Source organism: Homo sapiens, chromosome 8 (assembly GCF_000001405.40).
Source record: "Homo sapiens chromosome 8, GRCh38.p14 Primary Assembly".
Classification (NCBI taxonomy): Eukaryota; Metazoa; Chordata; class Mammalia; order Primates; family Hominidae; genus Homo; species Homo sapiens.
The window spans coordinates 116,450,753-116,474,611 of record NC_000008.11 but is presented as its reverse complement, the minus strand read 5'-3'; the positions used below and the strand labels follow the sequence as shown (position 1 = coordinate 116,474,611).

General features: G+C 39.3%; 1 long non-coding RNA gene across 2 annotated transcripts; it reads right to left on the bottom strand.

Moving 5' to 3' along the window:
• Positions 1-208: 208 nt before the first annotated feature.
• On the bottom strand, positions 209-20,421 carry LOC105375711 (uncharacterized). Of its 2 annotated transcripts, XR_928550.3 has the most exons (4): positions 20,211-20,421; positions 17,360-17,427; positions 6,565-6,675; positions 215-285 (listed from the first exon to the last, which is right to left on the bottom strand). It is a non-coding gene; the product is annotated as an uncharacterized LOC105375711 (long non-coding RNA). The 2 variants fall into 2 exon arrangements; XR_928551.3 differs by lacking the exon at positions 6,565-6,675 and having other exon boundaries at positions 209-285.
• Between the last annotated feature and the right edge of the window lie 3,438 nt (positions 20,422-23,859).

Here is a 23,859-nt window from a genome sequence, read left to right as displayed (position 1 = left end):
CCCCAGACTGGAGTGCAGTGGTGTGATCTTGGCTCACTGCAACCTCTGCCTCCCAGGTTCAAGCGATTCTCCTGCCTCAGCCTCCCGAGTAGCTGGGATTACAGGCGTGAGCCACCACACCCAGCTAATTCTTGTATTTTAGTAGAGACAGATTTCACCATGTTGGTCAGGCTGGTCTTGAGCTCCTGATCTCAAGTGATCTGCCCACCTCAGCCTCCCAAAGTGCTGGGATTGCAGGCATAAGTCACTGCGCCCGGCCCCCTGTAGTTCTTTGAAGAGTTTTCTCTGCAGGAATAAAGAAGGGTGGAGAAAACAATTCAGTGGTTCAAATAAAACAACTGTAGAGAAAGCACAGGGATTGTGACTAGACAACTGGGCATGAAGAATTTCACCTTGCCTAGGACCAGCAGAAGGTACAGAAGGTGCAATTCTCTTTTTCCTCATCAGTTAATATGAGAACTCTGCTGAGTAATTTACATTTCAACTTCACAATAACTCTGCAATAAGCAAAAATCTCCCATGGCAAGGATGAATAAATGGAGATTCAGATGGGTTAAGTAACTTGCCAAAGTCACACAGCAAGTATGAGACTAGACTAGAATTTGAAGGAAATCTGTATAATGGCACCATTAAATTCTAAGCCTGTTACTTGAAGAAAAGAAATCCTTTTCCACCCTGGGGTCATACTCACTTTAGAGGAAGAACTGCATGCAGAGACTTTTGTGTTTCACGATGATATTGGAACTCTATATCACAGTGTATTGCCTAATCTCTTCTGAGGATATAAGATTACTTGCTTTGTTGGTTTTCCTAAAAGTTGGCTCCTATAGAGCCTACCTAAGGTAACAAGAAATGCAGCTTCAATTCAAGCCCTGCAATGAACTCTGGAAGGGAACGCATCTGGATTCCCTTCACTGAGTATAAAGTGTAGCTTTCAGCCAGAAACACTGCCTCTTACTGCTGAGAATCCCACACCGAATCCAGAATTTTCACTCCACCCCATTTTTTACTACTTATGTTAAATCTATAAGAGCAGCTCTCTCTGTGTTGAATTGAAGTGAACTACACAACTCTTTCATGCCCTTTGTATAATTAACCTATGATGTATCTTTGGCTTCAAGAACTTAGATGAAAGGAGGTTTTTCTTGTTTAGCGGGTTGTTTGTGGACTCTCATCTCAGATATATAGATATGCCACTGGGCTGTTTTGTTCCCGGGTTGTACCGGGCAATGGAGGAATTCTTGTGCAGTTACTGCTGAACTGGACTGAATTTTTCTGAGTATCTCTTTAGGTTCTAGGTGAGGCATAAGAACCTACATATTTAGTAAGCCTCTCATGCACATTACATTTTGAAAAATAAATGCTTTAGAGGATTGTAGAAAAAACGGTGGCTGTAAAGTTTGTCTTTCTGCTTAAACATCCAGACAGTATGATGTTTTCTAAGCATCTATCTGATGATTGAGCAAATGCTTCTATTTGCTATGTCTACATCCCTCTCTTAGGAGCTGGAGATAAAACACCCCCTTGAAGCTTCCAGTCTAGTTCAGGAGGCACAATCAACATTTATAGTGCAGTGTAGAAAATTATTGCTATGCTTTGCTCTGTTAGATCTGGTAAATTACTCTGCCATAATACACTGACTTCCTAGTTAAATATTCTGTTAAAGTGGAGGTCATTATCTAAGGAATATTTTGTAGGGTTTCTCAATCTTGGCTGCACAATACTATCACTTGGAGAATTAAAAAAATTTGGCACTCAGGCTGCACCCCAGACCCTATTAAATCAGAGTCACTGGGGTTGGGATGCAGGCATGAGTGCTTTCCCCCCGGGTTTTAGTTTCAGTTTCTGTCTTAGCAGAATGTTTCTCTCCTACTCCTTCCCGAGCATCTGTACTTTGGGTCCTGGGAGGGTGTGTGTTTCCTAGAGACATCCATCATCAGTGAGCAGGGTTTTTATTCAGATCTGATAGAAGGCCACGTACTTTGCTTTCCATCTGGGATGCCAGGTCCAACTCTTTAATTAGGCTTTCCCCACGTCCGCTATTGTATCTCATTGTAATTATAACAAGTTGGCATGGCTTATGTTTGAGCAAGGCTTTGAATGATGTGGGCCTGTTCTCTGACATTTAAATTAGAAAAAATAAATTTGCTGAGAGAAGAACTGAGGGGCTACCAGAGAGCCCCCAACCAAATAGTCTATTTTCAGAAACATAATTTCCTATTTGTTTGTATATTGCATTTCAGGAAGTGTTAGGTGCTGGGTTGATGAGAGAGGTGTAAAGCAATTCTACCAGCCACCCACAGGTAAGATGTTAATTACATTGGGTGGGAGCCCAACACCCGTTGAAAACTAGATCCATGAATACTGAGACGGGTGATTTTCCACTGAAAAAATATTTTTCCATTCTGGGGGTTATGCTGCTGACCTGAGACAGCAATTTAATAGTAGGGCCAGTTAGCTTATATTAGATTTCTTTTTAGCCCAGGACTTTCTCAAAGTCCCAGCTAAGCCTAGGGACAGAATCACTGGCTTGGAAATGCAGGACTCTAACGTTCTCCATTGTTTGCGCGTTTCTCCAGATGCCCATCCACTTCGGCCTGGGTGGTCCAAGCTTGTGTTGCAGGCAGCTGCAGAGGTTCCAGCAGGCTCAAAGCCTCTGACGCAACCTTCCTTGTGAAGACTGATTGGCCAAGAGCTGGCAGCCAGCCACGGCTGTTTTTTTTTTTTTCCCCCTCCAGTGTTTGCACTTTTATGTCTAAGCTGCTACCTTTGCTGAACTGAACGGAGGCAAAGTGTTTGAGCTTTATTTTCAAAACTGGGAAGGGTTTGTGAGAAGAAAGCAGTATCCAAGTTTTCATGTGGGTCTCCAGCAGATCATGGCAGTTTTTTGTTGTTGTTGTTGTTGTTTTTTCGGTAAGCATTTATAGATTCAGATATCTCAGAGTTTTGTTATTTCTTTTTTTTTTGACTTTATGCTTCTCAAAGAATCACTGATTAAAGTAATTTAAAGGATAAAACAAGGAGGCAATGTGTGCTGCTCATCTTTTACAGCTTCCTGAATTACTAATAGAAGACTCAAATATCAAAATGCTGCCTAATTGTTTGAGTGCCCACCTTGATTTCAGAGACAAACCCACTTATTACTTCCACGTCTTGTCTTTACATATTTCCTTATCCAGTAAGGATAACTGGGCTTGAACAAGGGAATGGAATAAATTGCTTTTTGTTGACTGTTGTCTAGGTGACAGTCTGAAGTAGCTAATCCTTACAACAGTTCTCTAAGGAGGGCGCCATTAATATCTTGATCTGACACCAGAGGAAGCTCAGAGAGGTGAAGCAACTTGGCCAACGTTACAATACAGGGATGCTAGGAACTGAACCCTGGTCATTGTGACGCCAAAGTCCATGCCTTATGATGGCCATCACTTGCCTCCCTGCCTCAGCTAATGCACAAGGCCAGGGCCTAGAAGACATCTTAAAAATAAGGACTGTTTTGCACAGGCAGCTCTTATCATCTGTGTTATTCACCACTATATTCCCAGAGCCTGGAATAGAGCCTCCTACATAGTAGATGCTTGGTAAATGTCTTCTAAATGACTGAACACTTTTCTTTTCATTGGAACTCTTCCAACAGCATTGTCAAAATATGTAAGCTTTGATCTAAATTATGGTGGTGTATTATTATTATTATATTTAGTGTTGAACTTGGAAGGCTCTTTTACATTTTCTGAATTATGCTTTGAAGGGAATGAGAAACCCCGTTGTTTGGTTCTAACTGGTGTAGTGAGTGTCAGCAACTTAAGCCCTTTCTGCTGCCCCCAAGGAAATCAGCTCCTGAACAAATACCTGTGGAAGAAAAATACAGTTTGTGTCTTATCTGATTCAGAAAGTTTTGTCTTGCTCTTCAGAGGCAAGCTGGTGAAGTTCTGGCACCATCAGATTCAGTGAGGTCTGTTTAAATGTGAAACTTGTTTAAAGAGACAGTGCCTGCACTGGAAATGCCAATAGTCAGTGCATATGATGCCAGGTTTGTCAGAATGTGATGTTTTTCTGTCTTATTTTATGGACATGCAATATAATATATGTCTCAAGGGCTGAAACATCTGTGATAACATTGGATACCTAAACTATATCAAGCTGGGCATAATCATGCACTGGCATATGCGGGCTCATGTCCATGTAGGTTTATTGATGGAAAACGGAAAAGGGGGGAATAGTTTAAATTATCAGTCTTTTCTATGAAGCAAAATAATTGATCTTTTTGTAGAGTATTTTTCTCTGACTGTTTTCATGAAACATAAAAAGTTGTTAAAATACTTTTGCAATTCATTGGGACTGCTTCTTCTAATCTCTTCTTGTAAATGATTCTTTTTTGTAAGAATATTTAAGAGATTATATAGAAAGAATACAATATATAATAATAGTAATAATACCAAACAACAAGTATTTTTTGTTCCAGTCATTGTTACAAAAAGGAACTTTGTCTATAATACCTTAGAGGTGGATACTATTAGTCTACTTATGTGTGAATACCAGGGCTCTGAGAGGTTTAAGACCACACAGCCAGCAAGTAGTAGAAATGAGCTTTAGGTCTGGGTTTATCTGAGAACCAAGTTCATGGCAGGTTCTTAACCACTGAGGACTCTATCTCCTGGTCACGTAGACAAAGCTTTTGGACTACTGTGGTTTCTCTACTACTGTCCTTCCTAAAGTATACATGCAGTAGGTACAAATTGTACTACTTTAAATGTTAATTAATTTGTGAATTTACTAATAAATTACTTGGTCTCTGCATACTGGGGGAGGCCATTTAGGTGAGGGCACCTTATTGTATTTTGGCAGAGAACTACCAGATCCGGGAACTCAAATGTCATTTCGTAAAGGTATGACTACATCTTGGGCCAATGAACCAATGTAGGCCTCGTATTCACAGAAGCAAATGATAGTAACCAGAATCCACATAGAAAGATGTCTTACTTTGTGACCAAAGATATAACTTGAGAATGTTCTATGGAGAACATTTTCTTTTTTGGATGTTTGGTTTCATTTGGAAACAAATTGCAGTATGAGATGTGGAATGACATGGTGAACAAGAATGAGGGGTCGAGGGTAAAATCGCCTAGATTGGAATTTCAGTCCCACTGTTTACTATCTGGACATATTCCTTCAACATCCCTTGCCTCGGTTTCCTCATCCTTAAAATATGAATAAAGTTCACTTTGAAGGTCCAGTGGAAAGATAAAAATAAGATGATCTTGGAGGTTATTTTTGTCTAACAGAGTAAGTGCTCAACAAAAGTTGACAATGATTGTTAAATTTGTTTTCCTTTATTTTTACAGTTACAGAGAGTGTTGGGTGAATATGGTGATTCAAAGTCAATTGGATATTTCTAAGCATTATCTTAGCAGGCTTGGAGAACCCAACATGTGATTTTTCTCCATCGTGGAAAAATGATCAAAGAACTAGAAACCAGGATCTGGCACAGAGTTCCCACTTCTTTAGCTGGAGCTAAAAAATATACCCATGGTGTCTTACTTTGCAGTTTGTACTTTCTGAGAGTCTGGGCTACACTTCTTTTTTTCTTTTTTTGTATCATTAACAGACTGAAATTCGGCGTTCCTTTTCTAATTCTCCACTGTTCACTCTTGCCTCACACTCCTTTTCCCATGCTACAGTGCCCCAGTTTATGTGTATGCTAATTCTAAGTGGTGTTAGGTATTTGTTCTTTTCTGACATTCACCTTGGCACACACCTTACCTCGGGTCTGTAATAATTACAGGCCATGCATTACACAAAGTCTTACTGTGCAATTAGTGAAGCTGCTTTAGTACTGTGTTTCTTGTGTTTTTCATAACCCAGTTTAATACTGTATTAATGGTTATTTACTTGACTACTCCAAGATACTTTCTTTTCTCCCTTCCCAAACTTCCAAATTAGAGTTATTTGATATGGTTTTTTGGGGGCCATAAATACTTTTTCATATATACAATAGAATTTCATTAATTTTTATTCTTCAAGAGTTTAGTAGCAGTGATTCTTTTGCAGTTTCCAGACTTGAAGTAGTATTGAAAAATGTTAATTTTTCTAAAAGTTTTTTCTAATTTAGACCTTTCCTAGTTCATATAGAGCTCCTTTCCTTTTTTCCTTCATTTGAGTTGATGTAACTTATTTTCTATTTTTGTTGATGATAGATAAATAGATATTGAAAGGGAGTACATTATTACTGCATATATTTTATTATTTTATTTCTTGTTATTAGTAATAATGTCTATTTATATAAAATATGTAGTTTGCATATGCTTTTAACTACAGTGTTGTTATTTTCATTTGACAGATTAGGAAATTAAATGACAGATGACTACTAAGTGGCAGAATGGTAATGTCAAGCTCAGTTTTCTAACTGCAGAATATATGTTTCCAATATACTACAATGCTTTTTTGACAGACACACTGTATTTACATGTAGGTAGAAATAGGTGAGTCTCACAGAAGATGTGAAACCAAGATTACCCATGTATCTGAGACTCCCTCTTTAATATAAAAGTAACATGTTTTGGGACTCACATTGCATATGGCATTAAGCAGATATGGTTGTCTTCAAGAGATCTGACTTTGTCTCTCTCGTCTTAAGATAAACACGTCTTAATTTCTTGTCCCTCTTCCTTTGGTTTTCATCTATAAGAAATCAGAGGACTTTTAGTCTGTGACTTTCCGCCATCTTAAACAATTTATGTAAGCTTTCTCAACTTGTTTTTCTCATTAAATGTGATACCGCAATGGGTAACTGTGAAGAGCTGGCACAATATCAAATTCAATGTAGTGTACCATATAAATGTCTTTTAATATTATTATTGCTTTCATATTGTGTTTGACTTATGGGGTTGATTTTTAAGAGTTATGATATTAACAATTCTTATGTTAATCACACAGCAATTCATTGGATCACTCCATGTTCAAACACCACTCCAGAGCTTTAGGTCTTTGGCTTTAAGAGATCCGAGATGCCCTTCAGTGATCTATTCAATTAGTTGACGAATAGATTTATAACTGTAAACCATATTTCAACTCAAATGAAGCAACTAGGCTCAGAGAAGTGGTGAATGATTTGAAGTCAAAGAGCAAGTTAAGTGACAGAGAAAAAAACAGGAACTTAGGTCTTTCGATTCCAAATCACTGGGCAACATCCTTAGAGGAAAGACTGGGCTTGAAAATGGCATAGTACTAGTTGTGTATTCTGGTTCAGAAATACTTGAATTAACGTGCGTATTTTCAGGTATTTCACACCTATTTCCAGTGTGGATACCCACAAGTGTCCCATATGAAAGGTTGCTTGTTTAGAGACTAAAACAACTTTTCATATATCTTAACAGAGACATGGTGGTTTCCTCTGAGCTGCTGTGAATAATTTCTGATTGCTGTCCAGTGGCAGATTCTCCGTTACTCCCTCTTCTCCAGCAAAAGAATTAATTTCTGATATAAAATGCCTCCCTAACTTTAGACACCAACCATCTGAAGAAGGTGAAAGCAGGGTTAATTTTTAGGGTAGAAAAGTGGCTTTACATGAAACTCATAAAATTATCATGAAATAAATATTTGGATTCATTCATCAATGTTCACCCATGCATTGACTCTGTTTACATAGGTGATTGAGAAGCTTGATGCAAATAGCTTTAGGAATCATAGTACAAATCAAATATATGAGATTTAGAAATCTCATGCATGATTAGCGCTCTTCAACGTTTTAGACAAATAAATAGAAAAGAATGCCAATTTGTTTCTGTTTACTCTGAGGCCAAATTGATAAACATTGTGAGAAGAAAGGAGTGGTTCATTTAATAGCATTCAGGAACTTGGTTCTGTTTTATTAAAAGTGCGTACCATCTTTTCCTTGCTGCCGTATTTGTTTGTATTTGGGGCACTCTATTCAGCAATCTTGGAAGCTGGATCTCAGCTACTAGCACAACTACTCCCTTTAATAACAGTGATGAATGTTCATTCATGACAGTAATCATCACTGGCTTTAGAATTCTCATAAGTGCATTTAGTACCATGTGACTTTAAAAGGATTGAAAGCAGGGGCATACAGGGAAAGAGTGAGAGAATTTTAAAATTATTATTATTATTAAAGCCTTCAGTCTTGTAAATAGTTCTACAAAGGGTTAGACTGTGACAGGTGAAATTCCAGTCAACTGAAACGGTGATCTTTTAACTCAGGAACTGTGGGATATATCTTAAAGGATTTTTTTTGTTTCCCTCCACAAATCTTTGCAAAGCCTGTGAGTCTGCATAGGGGAGAAACATCTCCACAGAAAACACATTTGAATGACAGGTTTTTATGGTCTAGACATTCCAGAATTTCATAAGATTTACAAGCCTCCAGTAAAATGTGGTAGATAACCCATAAAACTCCAGTGGCTTGAAATGAAACATTTTCATGAAGTGGAAATCAACCTGCTTTGATTAAAACACAGTTCAAAGGGAAATAAACTAATGTGATGTAACAGATTTAGTTAAAATAGTGCATTTTCAACATCCTCCACCACTCTCTTTCATTTCCTTCTCATCAGAGAAAACAGCAAAGACATCACTAATTATCTTTTACCTGTGAAGATCCTGATACTATTGACCCTTATTATGTATATTAGAAATAAATATAGCTACTTTGAAATAGTATTTTGTTAGGTACACACATGCTAGCACACACATGCAGACACTTTAGACTTTCACTTGGAAGAGAAACACTATATAGACCCCATTTTAATTTGGGGAAGAGATGCAGATGTGTAATTTAAATGTATTTTCAGTGTTGGATCATAAGCATGTTTTCAAACAAGCTGGATCTTTTTTTCCATTGACTTTACTGTGTGCTGTGGTTTTGGAAACAGGTGCAGGTAATAGAGTTAGTATTGGTTCTTCTTGGTCAAAGCCTTATAACATTTTCTTCTAGGGGATGGGTATGTGCTTGGTGGCAGTAATGGTGAGATGTAGATCTTTTTGTCTCTGCCCCTCCTGCTTCAGTTTATTTATTTTTTCTTAGTTTCATTTCAACAGAGATGACTGTAATGGCTAAGAAGCTGAACTGAGAGACATGCCATCAGGAGGTTTAGCGGGTTGAGAAGGAAGCTCGTCAGCTCATTTAGGGTTTTTAATCTCTTGGAATTTGTCCCATACTAATAAAACTTCCAAAAAATTATGGTGCACCAGCAGGCCAATTATTTAGGGAAAAAGAGATAGATTTCTAGTGGATAGATTATTCTTGTACACTAAGCATGCTACTTCTTTCTAGTATCACAGCACCTGTCAAATCAAATTAATCATCCCCAAGTTTGCCTTTGAGCACAGAATCAGAGCACAGAAATATAGACAGTCTATTTTTTTTTTTTTTTTTTTTTTTGAGACAAGGGCTCACGCTGTTGCCCAGGCTAGGATGCAGTGGCATGATCTTGGCTCACTGCAATTTCTGACTCCAAGGTTCAAGTGATTCTTATGTCTCACCCTCCCAAGTAGCTGGGATTACAGGTGTGTGCCACCACACCCAGCTAAGTTTTGTATTTTTAGTAGAGACAGGGTTTTGTCATGTTGCCCGGGCTGGTCTTGAACTCTTGGCCTCAAGTGATCCACCTGTCTTGCCTTCCCAAAGTGCTGGGATTACAGGTGTGAGCCAACACACCCGGCCCCTTTGGTTCACTCTAGTGTGTGCTAGAATCACCCAGAAGTCTTATAAAAGACAGATTGCTGAGCCCCATTCCCAGGGTCTCTGCTCAAGGAATGGAGCCCAAGAATTTGCATTTCTAACAAGTCTTCAGGTCATGCTAATGCTGCTGGTCTGGAAGCCTGCTGAAAAGACTACTGTTCTATAATAGTAATGTGTTGCTCTATTAGTATTACAGCCCCATGAATTATTTCTACTTTGTTGTGGAGTATAATTTCCTTGTAACTAGGATACTTCTGTCCACCAAATGCATTTTTTTCTACTTCAGACAATACTGGATAAGCAAAGCAAACTCTTATTAACCAATACTTTTCCTACATCAGCCACCAAAGATAATATTATTGAAGCATGTTATTTGGTAAGTATATACAGCATAGTTGAGATGCCCATAACTTTCTTTAACAATTATTACACATCAATTACTTTTCTGAGCATATTCTTTAGGAGCTTTGCTTTCACTGGTAACTGGATTGCCTAGCTAGAGTTTTGGGAGTCTGCATTTTCTCATAAGAAAACAGCTTACGAACCATCTTCTTAAGATGGAGCTATTTCTCTAGAGAGGCAATCGCTTCTATCACAGATTAGTTTCACCTGTTTCAATTTCGGAGGGTGGCATTTTTCCTAGCCTTGTCTTCCGAAATGAGTGGGGTGCACAGTTCGAGTTTCCCATGTGCGTTTATGATGAGCAACGGGATCTCACATTTATTAAGAGCTTACAATGTGTCAGGGGTTACTCTCGGCACTTTATATGTATTAACTCATTTAATCTTCGCTCAACCATATGAGGAATATACTTTTATTATCACTACATTAAAGATGAAGAAGTGAAGCCAAAGAGAGGTGAAATAGCTTGCCTTCGTTCACACTGATAATATGTGGGCAAGCTAAGATTTGAACTGCAAGATTAAATATTTTCTTGTCTATTTGTTGCTTTTGCTCCTCCCAATATGGGTGGTGAGGAGGGGAGCTTATCCCTGACTCATATTTCCATAGAAGCGAGCGGAAGTTTCATCACTGCTCTTCAAGTTAGTCCAGCACAGAGCAACCAGGACAGGAGGCAGAGAGCAGCTGGAATTGAGCTATGCTTGTGTCACTAAGCTGTGCCCACACTGGGGTAGGCTCCACCATCACGGGTGTTTTTCTCCAACTTCACACAAAGGCTCTGTGTGTAGTCAGAAGGAAACTCTTGCTCTGCTCCCCAGGAAGGGAGAAGTGTAGGAAAAACACGTTGGGGTTCTTTCTGACCTCTCCTTCTCTGTGAAAACCAGGGTATCCTTGCTGGTGTCCAGCTGTTCCTATGATTTGGGTGGGGGCATGAAGTTAAGTTCAGGGTGCATATGGGTGGTAGAATTAGAAAGCCTGATTGTAACCTCAATCTAAGCCAAGTGTCTTAGGTTAGGCTCTCTAGAAGAAGATCCCAAGGCGAGGGTTTACATGCATGTGGTTTATTGAGAGTGCTCAGCAGAAAAACCCACAGTGGAGGGAGGTGAGCAGAATAGGAAAGGGAGAAGAGCTGAGCAAACAAGGATGTGGCCTCAGTTTAAGTGCACCTGATCCATAGCAGAAGGCGCCAGCACATAGAGACCAGGGCACAGTCTCTTGTTTTTGAAACAAGAGGGCTGATGGGCTGTGGGGGATGGGGCAGGGAGTGGATGGTGGGCTTTTAACTTCTCAGATGAAGTAGCCCCATCAGCTGAGGACAACTCTTCAGATAAGGGAGTCATCTACGAGATGTTACGCAGTCAATACTCATGGTAGCTGGAGTGGGTGCACTGGTACCCACCTTCGGCTAAAGGAGATCTAGTGTGGTACCAAGCTTTGTTTTCGAATTTAGCTTTAATGGAAATACACCTTATATGTTCATCTTCTGTTTGACTCATATATCTATTTTTCATTTGGGGAAAAAGAGATTTGATTATTACTCTAAAACCCCAAAAGTAGAGAACTAAGCTTTACTCTGCATGGATACCAGCTTGTGCATTATTTATAGGATAATCACACATTTACTTAAGCTTTTCATCACAGCAATGTATAACTGAGTTTGTCTAGAAGAAGGAAATTGAAATAATAATTTGTTTGCTTTGTTTTTTTTTCTTTCTAATAAATGAAGGGTATAACTCCTAGTTTATTGTAAAGAAAAGAAAACGAGAGAAGTCAAAGCAAACCTGTAAATGATACTTCTGGTTAATACTGAGATTGCTCCAGCCATGAAGGCTTTGTAACATATGGAAAATATCCAGGCTTTGGAGAAAGACAAGGAAAAGTTCAAATTGAGATTCTGCCCTCAGTAAGCTGCTTGAGCTTAGGTAGTTAACCTCTGTGAGATCCATTCTCACTCAAAAAAGATGTTGCATCTAAAGCTTTTGTTACAGTGCCTGGCCCATAGTGGAGGCATGAAACATAGAAATTTCTTGACTGGGACTATTCATTCAATAAAAATGTATTTCCTGTACTACTAGAATATATCCCGAGCAATGTACTGGGCACTGGGCCTATCAGCATGAATGTGACACAGTCCTTACTCCTGAAAACTTTTAGTCTAGTGAGGGAGACACATGAGTAAATCATTACAGTGTTGAGGCCGGGCACGGTGGCTCACGCCTGTAATCCCAACACTTCGGGAGGCTGAGGCGGGTGGATCACGAGACCATCTTGGCTAACATGGTGAAACCCCGTCTCTACTAAAAAATATAAAAAATTAGCCAGGTGTGGTGGCGGGCGCCTGTAGTCCCAGGTGCTCGGGAGGCTGAGGCAGGAGAATGTTGTGAACCGAGGAGGCGGAGTTTGCAGTGAGCCCAGATCATGCCACAGCACTCCAGCCTGGGCGACAGAGCGAGACTCCATCTAAAAAAAAAAAAAAAAAAAAAATTACAGTGTTGAGTGGGACCAAACAGGTGACAGGTGTAGCTTTGGGAGACTGATGAGGAAGTAATTTTGTGCAAAGACTGAAAAGTCTTTGAAAAGGAGAAAAAAATTGAGTTAGATTTCAGAAGAGGGAAACAAGTTTGCTAAAAGATAAAGGAGGCCCAGGTAGAGGAAAATGTATAAGGCATGGATATATGGAAAGGCATGTGGTGTGAAACACTATGTTAAGGGTCACCAGCAAATACATGCTCAATATGAGTTGTCTCAAAACTCTGTTTTTGGCCAACCTGATGTTCATATCTCTTGCTATAAATCAATACTTACTTTTCATTTTGGTCCTATAAACTTTTGAACTGAAAGACTACATATGACACTTCAGTCTCATTCCAAACATGATTTCTGTATGCACCCAGTTTTCAGGAACTGCCTCTGGCCAAGCATTAGGGTGACACAGCAGCTCAAAAACACGTGGGTGTCCCGTCAACCAACTTTACTGTATGACAGGTAATGGTTACCATTTATTGGCAGTTTGTCATGTGCCTTGTGCTAAATGCTGGATATGCATCATGTTATTCTCACAAGCTTGTGAAGTAGGTTGTTTCAAAGGAGGAAGTACATTTCAGAAAGGTCAAAGAACTTGCCCGAAGTCATATAGCTTCTAAGAGGCAGATCCAGTATATAAACCTACTTTTACCAGCATTTTAAATCATTGTGGTGCATAATCATACTTTGCATATTCCTATAATCCCACTCTGCCATAAGCCTTCTCTGAAGATCCTGAGAAAAAAAAACAGTTTTCCCAGCTTATTTTCTACTTTCAGAAGGCAACTGCACTGCCAGTAGAAGTTTCTGCAAGAAGAATACAATTTACTTTTGCCAAGACAAAAAAGGATTAACCTAATGTGGTGCCACTCTGCTTGCCAATAAGTTACAGTATCTTAGGTTGGAAGATTGTGGAAGTCATCTTGTTTAGCTTTTTCTTCCCAGAATGGCCTCCCCAAGCAGAAGTTATCCAGCTTTTGTGTGGAAACTTCCACTGATCTTTCAATGGCTCACTTTGGCATGGTTCCAGTTGTTACAGAACTCTTTATTGATTTTCATTTTGTAACATCATTTTAAAGATTCTAGGTCTATCTTCTATACAAGTGCAAGCCTTGGCATCACAAAGATCTGAGGTTACATCTTTCTAACATGGAATATTGTTTATCCTCACTCAGCTCCCACCTGCTCATTATTAAAACGAAAAGAGAATCTCTAGTACTGTCAGGTCAAGGTAAGGATTAAAGGAGAAACTCACGTCTTTAGTACAAATCTCCAAGGGAATCTGAGTAGTCTGTTTAATTGCTAGGTAAGAGTAGAACTTTTGAATTAGGTGACCCCATAGGCTGTTGGGCAGGAAGTAGTTTATCTGCCCCTGTGTCAGGTGTTTTATTGTGCCTAGGGCCCACCTGGCATGATAGAATGTCCTATTTCAAAAGTTCGCCATGGTTGTACCATATCCGGGATGACATGCATGGCAATTTCCTTCAGGAGAGGGCCACAGGCAAGGTGTTAACTTAGAGAGTAGAAAAGTCCTGCATGGTATCTACACCTAGTTTCACATACAAGTGCTCAGTAAATGTTAGTTCATTTCATTGTTTTCTTATTCCACTTGAAAACCTTTCAAATTCTCAGAGATATTTCTTACTTGGTTCAATGCTGGAAATACCATCCAAGGCTTAGTGTGTTTGTCTGTTTCCTATTTCTGCTGCAACTCCCTCCCCCCACCGTCCCATGCAGTAATTTCATCTTCCTACTTTTTAGTCTTATCCTATCGTCCTTGGATAATGGTGGATCCCAAAGGGGGCAAGTCTTCAAAGTTTAACAGTCAACACAATTGAGTCTAATGTACCACTACACTGAAATTTTCATTCTATAATGAGGGAAATAGAATTCTATCACAAGTTATTTCTGCTCCCCACAATTTCTAATAGCCTTCATTAGATGGTGAAGAGTTGAAAGTGTTGAATCTAATAAAATTCGCATTGAAGGTGTTTGGAGGATCGGACCATGCATGTAATAATTGACTGACTCCTACGGTTCTTGTCGATTGATTGATCCTGCTACATTTCCTGAGATCTCGTGCCCTAGAGCAGCTCAGCTTCTAGTCCAGTTGTCCTCAAAGTTTAATGTGTATGAAAATATCCTGGGAAACATTTTTCAGATTTCTAAACTCATCTCCAAGGATTGTGATTCATATGAAGCCTCAAAATTGACTTTTAAAAATAATTCCCGGGTAAAATCATCATCAACTCCATGAACATAAAGTTGTTGTGGATTTGACAGTGACTATCTTCTTGGATTCAGACTCTGAGCTTTTGTTTCTTCCTGTGAGAAAATATTTGCCTTTTACCCCAATGTTGGCCCTTGTCTTGTAATCACCCCTTTGCCATGCCTCTCAGGAACTGGGGACATGCTGCTGAATCCAAGTCCATCATGGCTGGGGTCTGTGTTCTCTATATTAACTGAAGATAAGGATTTCAGAACCCAGAATAAGGTAAGGGACAGGTAATTGATTAGATGAAGATGACAAAGGAAGAATGATTCTATGACATATCTCTGGTATGATAAGGTTGAATCAGAAACAATAGTTGAACCATAGACACCGTTCTGAAGTTGTCATCCTTGGACTTTTCTTCATGACCCAAATTGCCCTTTGAGTTCCTAGCTCATTTTATTCTTCTTTTTGGTTTTCTGGCTCTGGTTTTTGAGTGTGTAAATTCCTATTTCGGACGCTCTTATCTGACCCTGCACCACTTCTAGACTATGACTTAAGTCTAATATTCTGTCGTATATTCCTGCTGAAAACTTACATAATGATAATAATGATGGTGATAATTATGATGATAATAAACATCTACAGAATATATATTTAAGTTTTACATTTATATCATTTAATAAGAATAGTTGGTCTCTTGTTCTTTTCCCCAGTTTTAGGCAAAGAAACTGAAGAACAGATAGGTTAGATTATACAGTTGTTAAGTGGCAGGGCCTGAAGAAAGATGCAGGTAGTTTGGCTTCTGAAGCTGTGCTCTTATCAAGTGTATTATATTGCTTTATTACATCTCTACCAAGCCCTTCATTGCTCACCGAATGACAAAGAAGTCTGTAAAAAAGCCTCCTTTTCCTTTCGTGCTTGTGATAACATATGGCATTGGGGAGCTAGAGTTCCCAATAATTCTTCTTTGGAATTCCTTAGGCAGCATTTAATTTCAACATTCTTTCCCCCAAAAGAGCATTTTTAAAAGCATGACATTTCCTGTTATCTCCCCTAAATAATGAGATCACCCAGATGATTCTGGGGGACTAGTTGCATTTTATCAGTGGCGCCTTTGTTGCACAATTTACATTTTTGCTCTTGAAGATACAATAAAAGATTTATGTCTGACGGGCTGTGATGTGGTTTGCATCTAAGAGAAAAACAATTCCTTCCAAAAAAATACCATATCCCCAAATGATTTCATAATTGCAAACAGTGTTGACGAGCTCTTTGGCTTAAATAAGTTTATAACATATTTGCTGTGTTTTTGTGTAGATATGTTTTGATGCTAAGGAAAAATAATGAAAACCCCTCTGCCATTTCTAATTGAGAAGAAAGAAATGTAATCCATTAGTTGATGTCTCCCATCATAAGATTATTTTTTCTCCCTCATTTCATTCCAGATTTGTTTGAAAAATTAACTTGTGTTAAATAGTTTCAGGTCTGAAAGTCAGCCATGTTTCTCATTATTGGAGATCAAAATGGCCTCATTCCCTTTGTGTGTTGGTGCCACTAAAACACAAGGGAATCTTAAAAGTACAAACTTCTGATAGAAGCACCACATTTCCCTAGTCAATCTGCCCAGCAGAGCTTACATTTTTTTTCCTGCATTTACTGCTGGAACAATGCTTTATACTGACAAGTTTCAGGGTTTTAGTGTCATGCTCAGACTGGGAAAGACTTTTAGTGAAGACATGCTGGCCCCAAGGCTCTAGTCACCCTTGAACTTGTAAATGTGTCATTATGAACCTTGCTCTCTAATGCTCCTTCAATCAACTATTGTCTTTGATCTTTAAGCAGAATGTGAGCATCCACCTGGTGACATAAAGACTCATGACCTACATTAATCTAGGGGTCTCTGCATTTAAACAAACCTGGCTTTCATCCACTGATTGTTATATGACCTGTTTCAAATTTGAAAACTTTCTTCATCTACAAAATGGGACTATTGGTAATAGATGACGTATGTTAAAGAATTGCTGGGCAAAGGAGGACATGTTAAGTGCCCAGTTAGTGCTATTGCATGATACCTTATTACATTGAAAGGGAGGAGATTGATTTCAAAGCCTTCTGAAGATTCTTTCCAGCTCCAGCATTTCATTGTGACACTGCTAGAATTGGTTACCTGGTTGATTCAGTCTAAATGATTAGATGCTAAGGGAAAATTTGAGGGTCATAGAGGCATAGGGCAAGAAATAGCAGCCATCTTCCCTGCTTAAGAGCTGAACCAATTAAGAGAGAAAATCAAGCAGTAAAAGAAGTGGAGATCAAGATATCACTTTTATGATTGATGGAACCAAGAATGAAGACTAAGGCATGTGTCTGTGGCTTCCTCTTGGACAACTCCACAAGGAGCCAGGTTTATCCTTTCAACTGGCCTCGGCACTGGCTTCACACAAGAAGACCAGAGAACATGTGTTCCCTCCTAAGAGCTTGCTCCCTAGAGGAGGTGACAGAGGTCTTCATTCTCATTCCAAACTCACCAGTCAGTGCGGAGGGAGTGAGAGGATGGAGAGGAGCCAAGAGCACTGTGCCAATGATTGTCCTCCACCTGGAAGGGAATATGAGAGATGGGAATGACAGGGTCATCTGCTTCAGTGTCTATTGAGTTCAAGAAATAAATGACCTAGATTTCACTTTGTGAAGATAGAGTTTGTGGGAGATAGGCTCAGACTTAGGTATTTCACCTTCCTTGTAGGTTAAATTGATTCATATCAATGAACTCAGCCTTTTTCTCTAAATCCATAGAGTCCTGGTGGGATAATATCCCACACACAAAGGTGAGAATTAAGTAAATAATCTTCTCTTGACCATCCTCTCTTCCATCTTCCTCTAGCTCCTTTCAACTTATGACCGCAACAATGAATCTTAAATAAACTGCTTCAAAGTCGTCATAATGAAGTAACTGATAGGATAGTACTGGCAGCCACATTGATGATAATGAACCTGAGGATGAAGGTTTGATTTCTAATACGCTTTAGTTTTGAAGTGAGATAAATTGTTTTGTTAGAAGACTTGGCACCTCTGCTCTTGTCCAGCTGTTTAACAAATGTGAGTCCTTGGTCACCAATGAAGCCAGTCTAGAGGGTGTAGATAGCTGAGTGTGAGCCATAATTACTACTGTGAAAACAACTCGAAGCACATGTCCTACTGATGGGTGTGAGATGGCATGCAGTACACGCACAATGCAGACTTTTGGAGGTATGTTTTCAAGTTGTGCTTTGCAGGAGGTCTTAGCCACACACACTTTCAGGGTCTTAGAATCCTAGCTTTATGCATGAGTAGAGGGATCCCCTGTGTATTATTAGTAATTCCTTTTATTTATTGTGCCATCACTTGGAGGGTGTTCTCAAGATCCGAAGCCTTTGCCTCTGTGCTGGGGCCCTTTTCTGTTTTTGTTTTTTTTTTGACGGAGTCTTGCTCTGTCGCCAGGCTGGAGTGCAGTGGGGCGATCTTGGCTCACTGCAAGCTCCGCCTCCTGGGTTCAAGCCATTCTCCTGCCTCAGCCTCCCAAGTAGCTGGGACTACAGGTGCCTGCCACCACACCTGGCTAATTTTTTGTACTTTTAGTAGAGACGGGGTTTCACCTTGTTAGCCAGGATGGTCTCGATCTCCTGACCTTGTGATCCACCTGCCTCAGCCTCCCAAAGTGCTGGGATTATAGGCTTGAGCCATAGCGCCCAGCTCCTTCTTTTACTACTTTTATCATAGTGCATCTGTGTCATATTATTTTTAAAAATTTTTCACTAGGCTGTGAACTCTGGAGGATTGGTGCTGAGACTATCGTGTTCACAGCTATATCAGTAGCACTAAGTACAGTGTCTGACCCATGGGAGGGGATTAGTGGGGATGTTGTTGAATTAAATTAAATGTCAGTTTGCTTCCCAAGGTAGGGCACACAGGCACTCTGGGTTGAGGCTCTGGTTTCGTTAAGAGGGCACCTCTTTAGTCTGGTGACCTTGATTTACTTCTAGCAACAACCTGCAGACTCATACAGTTTTCAAGGGCCTCCAAGATTCCTGAGAAATGAATCACATTAACCTTCTTGTTTGGGATATCTTCATCAACAATACACAGAGATATGTAGGCTGCAGAATTCTCAACACCCCAATGTAAAGAGTCACATTACATCTACCTGTGAACTCTCTGCTGTGTCAGTCTATGTGACTGTCTCCTTGTCCTTCAAGGAGAACCAAGACTGGGATTCAGGCACAAAATTAAAGGTGTGCCAAAAAACTCCATAAGCAAGATAAATAATACTTTAATGTAATATTCAAAATTAATGCAAACATTTTACAACTCACAAAATATGAACTTTTAAATAACGACCGTTTTGGTATTCTTAATTTTCCTTTGCCGCAACGGCACTTCTTTATTGCCTCCCCTGCCTGGTCCTAGAGAAGACAGAACCAATGAGAAATTACCTTGGCCATAACTTTCCTGAATTTTACTCCTTTATTTTATTTTAAAAAGTTTCCATATCGGCTGGGGTGGGTGGTAGTATGGAGTTTCAGTAATACTGAAAGGTAAATGCAAAAACATAATCATAAAAATTGGATGAGGTAGTCAAACCTGAAGTGCCTACATTAGAAAAGATTTAGCAGGGAAAATGTTGCATATTTAATAACTAGATAACGCAAGACTGAAATAAGTAAAATTTAATAACATTCAGAAATACAGCTGCAATATTTCTTTCTCAGATGAATGTGTATGGCTTCATTTTTATTTGCTTTGTCCTTCATTGGAATTGATTTTTAAAAGGGCTTCTTAAATTGTTCTAGATTTCCTTTAAGCAGCACAAAATGCTGTTATATGCAAAGTTGCTTTAAATGGGAGCAAATGTGTATGAAATCAGCAACTGCTCCAAAGGCGCCATTCTTTCCTACTGGAGGAGCTTTCTTCATTTACATAGGAGCGCATGAAGCCAGAAAAAGGGGAAAATACAAACATGAAATCTTCAAGAGGTTTTTGGAATTGCAGCAGAAAAACACAACGCTTAAGCGTAGATGTCAAGTGCTTTTTGAGTTTCTTGCAGGGCGGCAGCTACAGGGGGAGCGTTACCTCCTGGGGAACGTCCAGTTGCTCTGGATGGAAAATAAAGTGCTGCCGTTTTGCAGGCTTTTGGATGGGAGAAAGGAGGGAAAGGATTGTGTAATTGCAGAAAAGCATCCTGAAACTTTTTCAGTTTCATTTGTTTCCAAACAGGAAAACAAAGTGCTGAAGAAGCGTTAAAGAGAAGGGGAAGCCTCAGGCTTTTTTTTTTTTTTTTCCGATTGAGGCACAGCTGTGGCAATATCACAATATTTCCCTGGTGTTTTCTTTGGATCTCCTTACCTGGTGCCAACCGTACACAACGAAAGTAGAAGAGAGTTGCTTGGTTGGAACAAAATCCCAGTCAAAATGCTGAGTTTTCTCCTGGCCCATTTCTGTAGCACCGGGTGCGTCTGATTTCCTTATATTTGCAAGTGATCCCCCTCTTTCTTAGACCTCCCCACCTCCACATTTTGGAGGTACAGGCTGCAGGCAAGCTTGGTCTGTAGAGTCTGAAATGGGGTGGAAGTGGACCCACTACCAGAGACCAAATTTCTGTTTTTTGCTTCCCCAGCTACGGAATTGCAGGTATGAGGAAGTAACCATTTAAATTTTTTTTTTTTTTTCTGGAGGAGTCATCTCATGGCTGGTTGCACATTAAAAACACCTAGGGAGCTTTAAAAAACACTGATCCAAGGTCTCACTTCAGTCCTATTAAATTAAATATCCTAAGGGTGGGAACCGTGTATCCACAAGTTTTTAGAGCTCCCCAGGTGATTATAATTTGAAGCCAGGGTTGAGAAGTCCAGACCCAGAGCTCAGGCCCCCTAACAACCCTTTTCTCTCCTTAGGGTCGACTCTCCACCCAAACAGCTCGATGATCTCCATCCGAAGCTAAGTCTGCCTTTCAGTTTAATTCAGTTCAGTTACATACAATTCAATTTAATAAATATTTATTCAACTGCCTCTCCACCCTTAATTTCTGATTGTGTGTCCCATGAGAGTGGTGAGATCCTATTTTCAAAATAAGAGGGCAGAGATACTTCAATTTATCTCATTTTTTAGAAGGATATTTAAAAAAAAAATTACCGTCTTAAACACAGATTGCAAGTTTCTAAAAATTGTGCATTGGATTCAGATATCATTCTTTTTCTGACGCTCAAAGCTCTAAACAGATAGTTGTTTGTATATGTGTAAGACATCCATCTTTTGATTTGTTCAATTGTTCAGTGCATGTTAATAAATATCACTGAGCTAAGATAACTAAGAGAGAGTACTTGGCTTTTGAAGACTGCCCAGAAAAGTAGGAGACATGATATGTGAGCAAGAGATTAAAGTACTGTGAACTGCTGAAGCTAAAAGAGACATGCATAAAAAGAATGTTTCTGATTTATTCAGAGGAAGCAATTGTGCAGGGCACAGCATACAGGCTTACAGAGGGCCTATGGAAGAGTTCTCCATGGAGTATTTCAGGCAACAGGAGGAGCACATGCAGTTTTCAAAGGTGAGAGTTAAATGTTTTGGTGAAGGCTCACAGGAAACACAGGAAGAGACAGGGAAGAAGTTTGAGGGCTCCCAACTCTCTTTAGACCATTATCTGTTGAGCCAGGGTTTCTAAATCATTTTTGCCTCATGGCTGAGTTTCAAATTCATGAATTTGCAGCTACCTTCGGGCTTGCAGGGAATGAGAGTGCACGCTCAGTGGGGAAGGAATATAGCTGGCCTGCTTTTGGAAACTGATAGAGAAACCTTTGAGGAGGACTGGATTGACCTGGATTTCATACATGAGCTGTGGAATCTTGAGCAAGTTACTCAACTTTCCCTTCCTCAACTGTACAATGAAGATACTTCTGCTCACCTCAAAGTGATTTTTGTTTCGTTTTGTTTTTTAGATGAAGATTCAATGTATTAGGTATTGTGTAAAATGCATAACAAACTACCTGAACATAGGAAGTATCCATAAAATGGAGATCTGCAGCTGAGGTACTGAGTTTTCTGTCTGCAGTTTTCTTTACATTTTATTTGTGTTTATTTGTGTTTCCCTCCATACCTGGCCTTCCCAGGGACCTACCCAAAGACCAGCACACTGGCTGTGGTGAAAAGTGCATGATTTTGAATACACAAGCAAATCACCATCAAGGAACAACACACTTCTAGAAAGTTCTCTGACAGACTCATGACATGTCTTTTATCTTTTTTTTTTAATTTAACAGAATTTAAATTAAATTAAATTTAACAGAATTAAATTAAATTAAATTTAACAGAATTTAATTAAATTAAATTTAACAGAATTTAATTAAATTAAATTTAACAGAATTTAATTGAGCAAAGAATGATTGGCGAGTCAGGCAGCCCCTGAACCAGAATAGGTTTGGAGAGGCTCCCTGTGCTACCGTACGGTCCAAGAAGATTGATGGACAGAAAAAAGAAAGTGACATACAGAAAATACTTTGGTTACAGGCTTGGTGTTTTCCTTATTTGAACCTGGTTTGAACAGCTGGCCACCTTTGATTGGCCAAAACTCAGTGACTGGCACAACAGGAGGTTACAGTCTGTTTACACATCCAGTTAGGTAACAGTTCAATATGTGTGGAGAAACTTTAGACTGAACTTGAAATATGTAAGAAGGCAGCTTTAAGCTAAAGTTCATCTAACAACCTACAGGTCCTTCTGTAGTTTACTGTGTCTTTACCTTCAAAATTAAAATCAGTGCCCAAATTTCCAGACTTAGTCTTTCTACAGCATCTCATCTGACTTCTCTATGGTTTGCTCATCATTTTTTGATATGGTTTGGCTGCATCCCCACCCAAATCTCATCTCATTGTAGCTCCCATAATTCCCACGTGTTGTGGGAGAGACCCGGTGGGAAATAATTAATCATGGGAGTGGTTTCCTCCATACTATTCTTGTGGTAGTGAATAAGTCTCACAAGATCTGATGGTTTCATAAGGGGTTTCCCCTTTCCCTTAGCTCTCTCATTCTCTCTTGCCTGCCGCCATGTAACATGTGCCTTTTGCCTTCTGCCATGATTGTGAGGCCTCCCCAGACATGTGGAACTGTAAGTCCATTAAACCTCTCTTTTCTTTATAAATTACCCAGTCTCGGATATGTCTTTATTAGCAGCATGAGAAAGGACTAATACATTCCTTTACTTTTTAAGATGTGGTAAAGACAGCGACGTTTGAGAAGGACCTTGAAGTATGCATGGAATTTCCTTAAGGCAGAGAATAGGCATTCCAGGTGGTGAGATTAATATAAATAATGGCATAGAAATATACTTAGAAGCAAAAAATAGTAGAATAGTTGTTTTTTGGGACACAGGTCTGTGTACAGGAAAAATAGAGAAACCTTAAAATTTAGACACAGGCTACAGTTTCTAACTTGAGAATGAAAACACACACAATTAGTACATCCTATACAATAAGTGACATCTCTTAGCAAACCTGGTTTTAGATTTCTTTTAAAATAATTCAATCTTGTCTTTCGTTCTATTATTTTTATTTCTCTTTGTGTTTATTTATTTATTCTCTTGTGTGTTATTAAAGACATTTGTGGTAAGGTCTCAATCTTGGCTTGCTGAGAGTTCATCTGCTTCTGATGATTATCTTTATCCACCTAAAGTCACAATCTGTTCTTGGGAGAACATACTTATTTGCACAATAACCAATTGTGATGTGAAAAAGGGAGGATTATAACATTAGTTGGGGCATGAGTGGCTGGCACAGAAGGAGTCCAACAAGGCATGGATCCTGTTTCTGTACATGTGTCCTTAATAATAATGAAGTTGTAGAGGGTAGAGTATGCTAGAAGGGAGCACTATGTTAGAAGGGAGCAGAGTTGTTTCTGAATAGCTCATTTTCTGAGGGAGTACATATGATGTCAGCAATTAATTCAGGCCCTAAATTCTGTTTTCCTATAAAAAAATCCTGTTTTAGTTGTGGTATCTTTGACG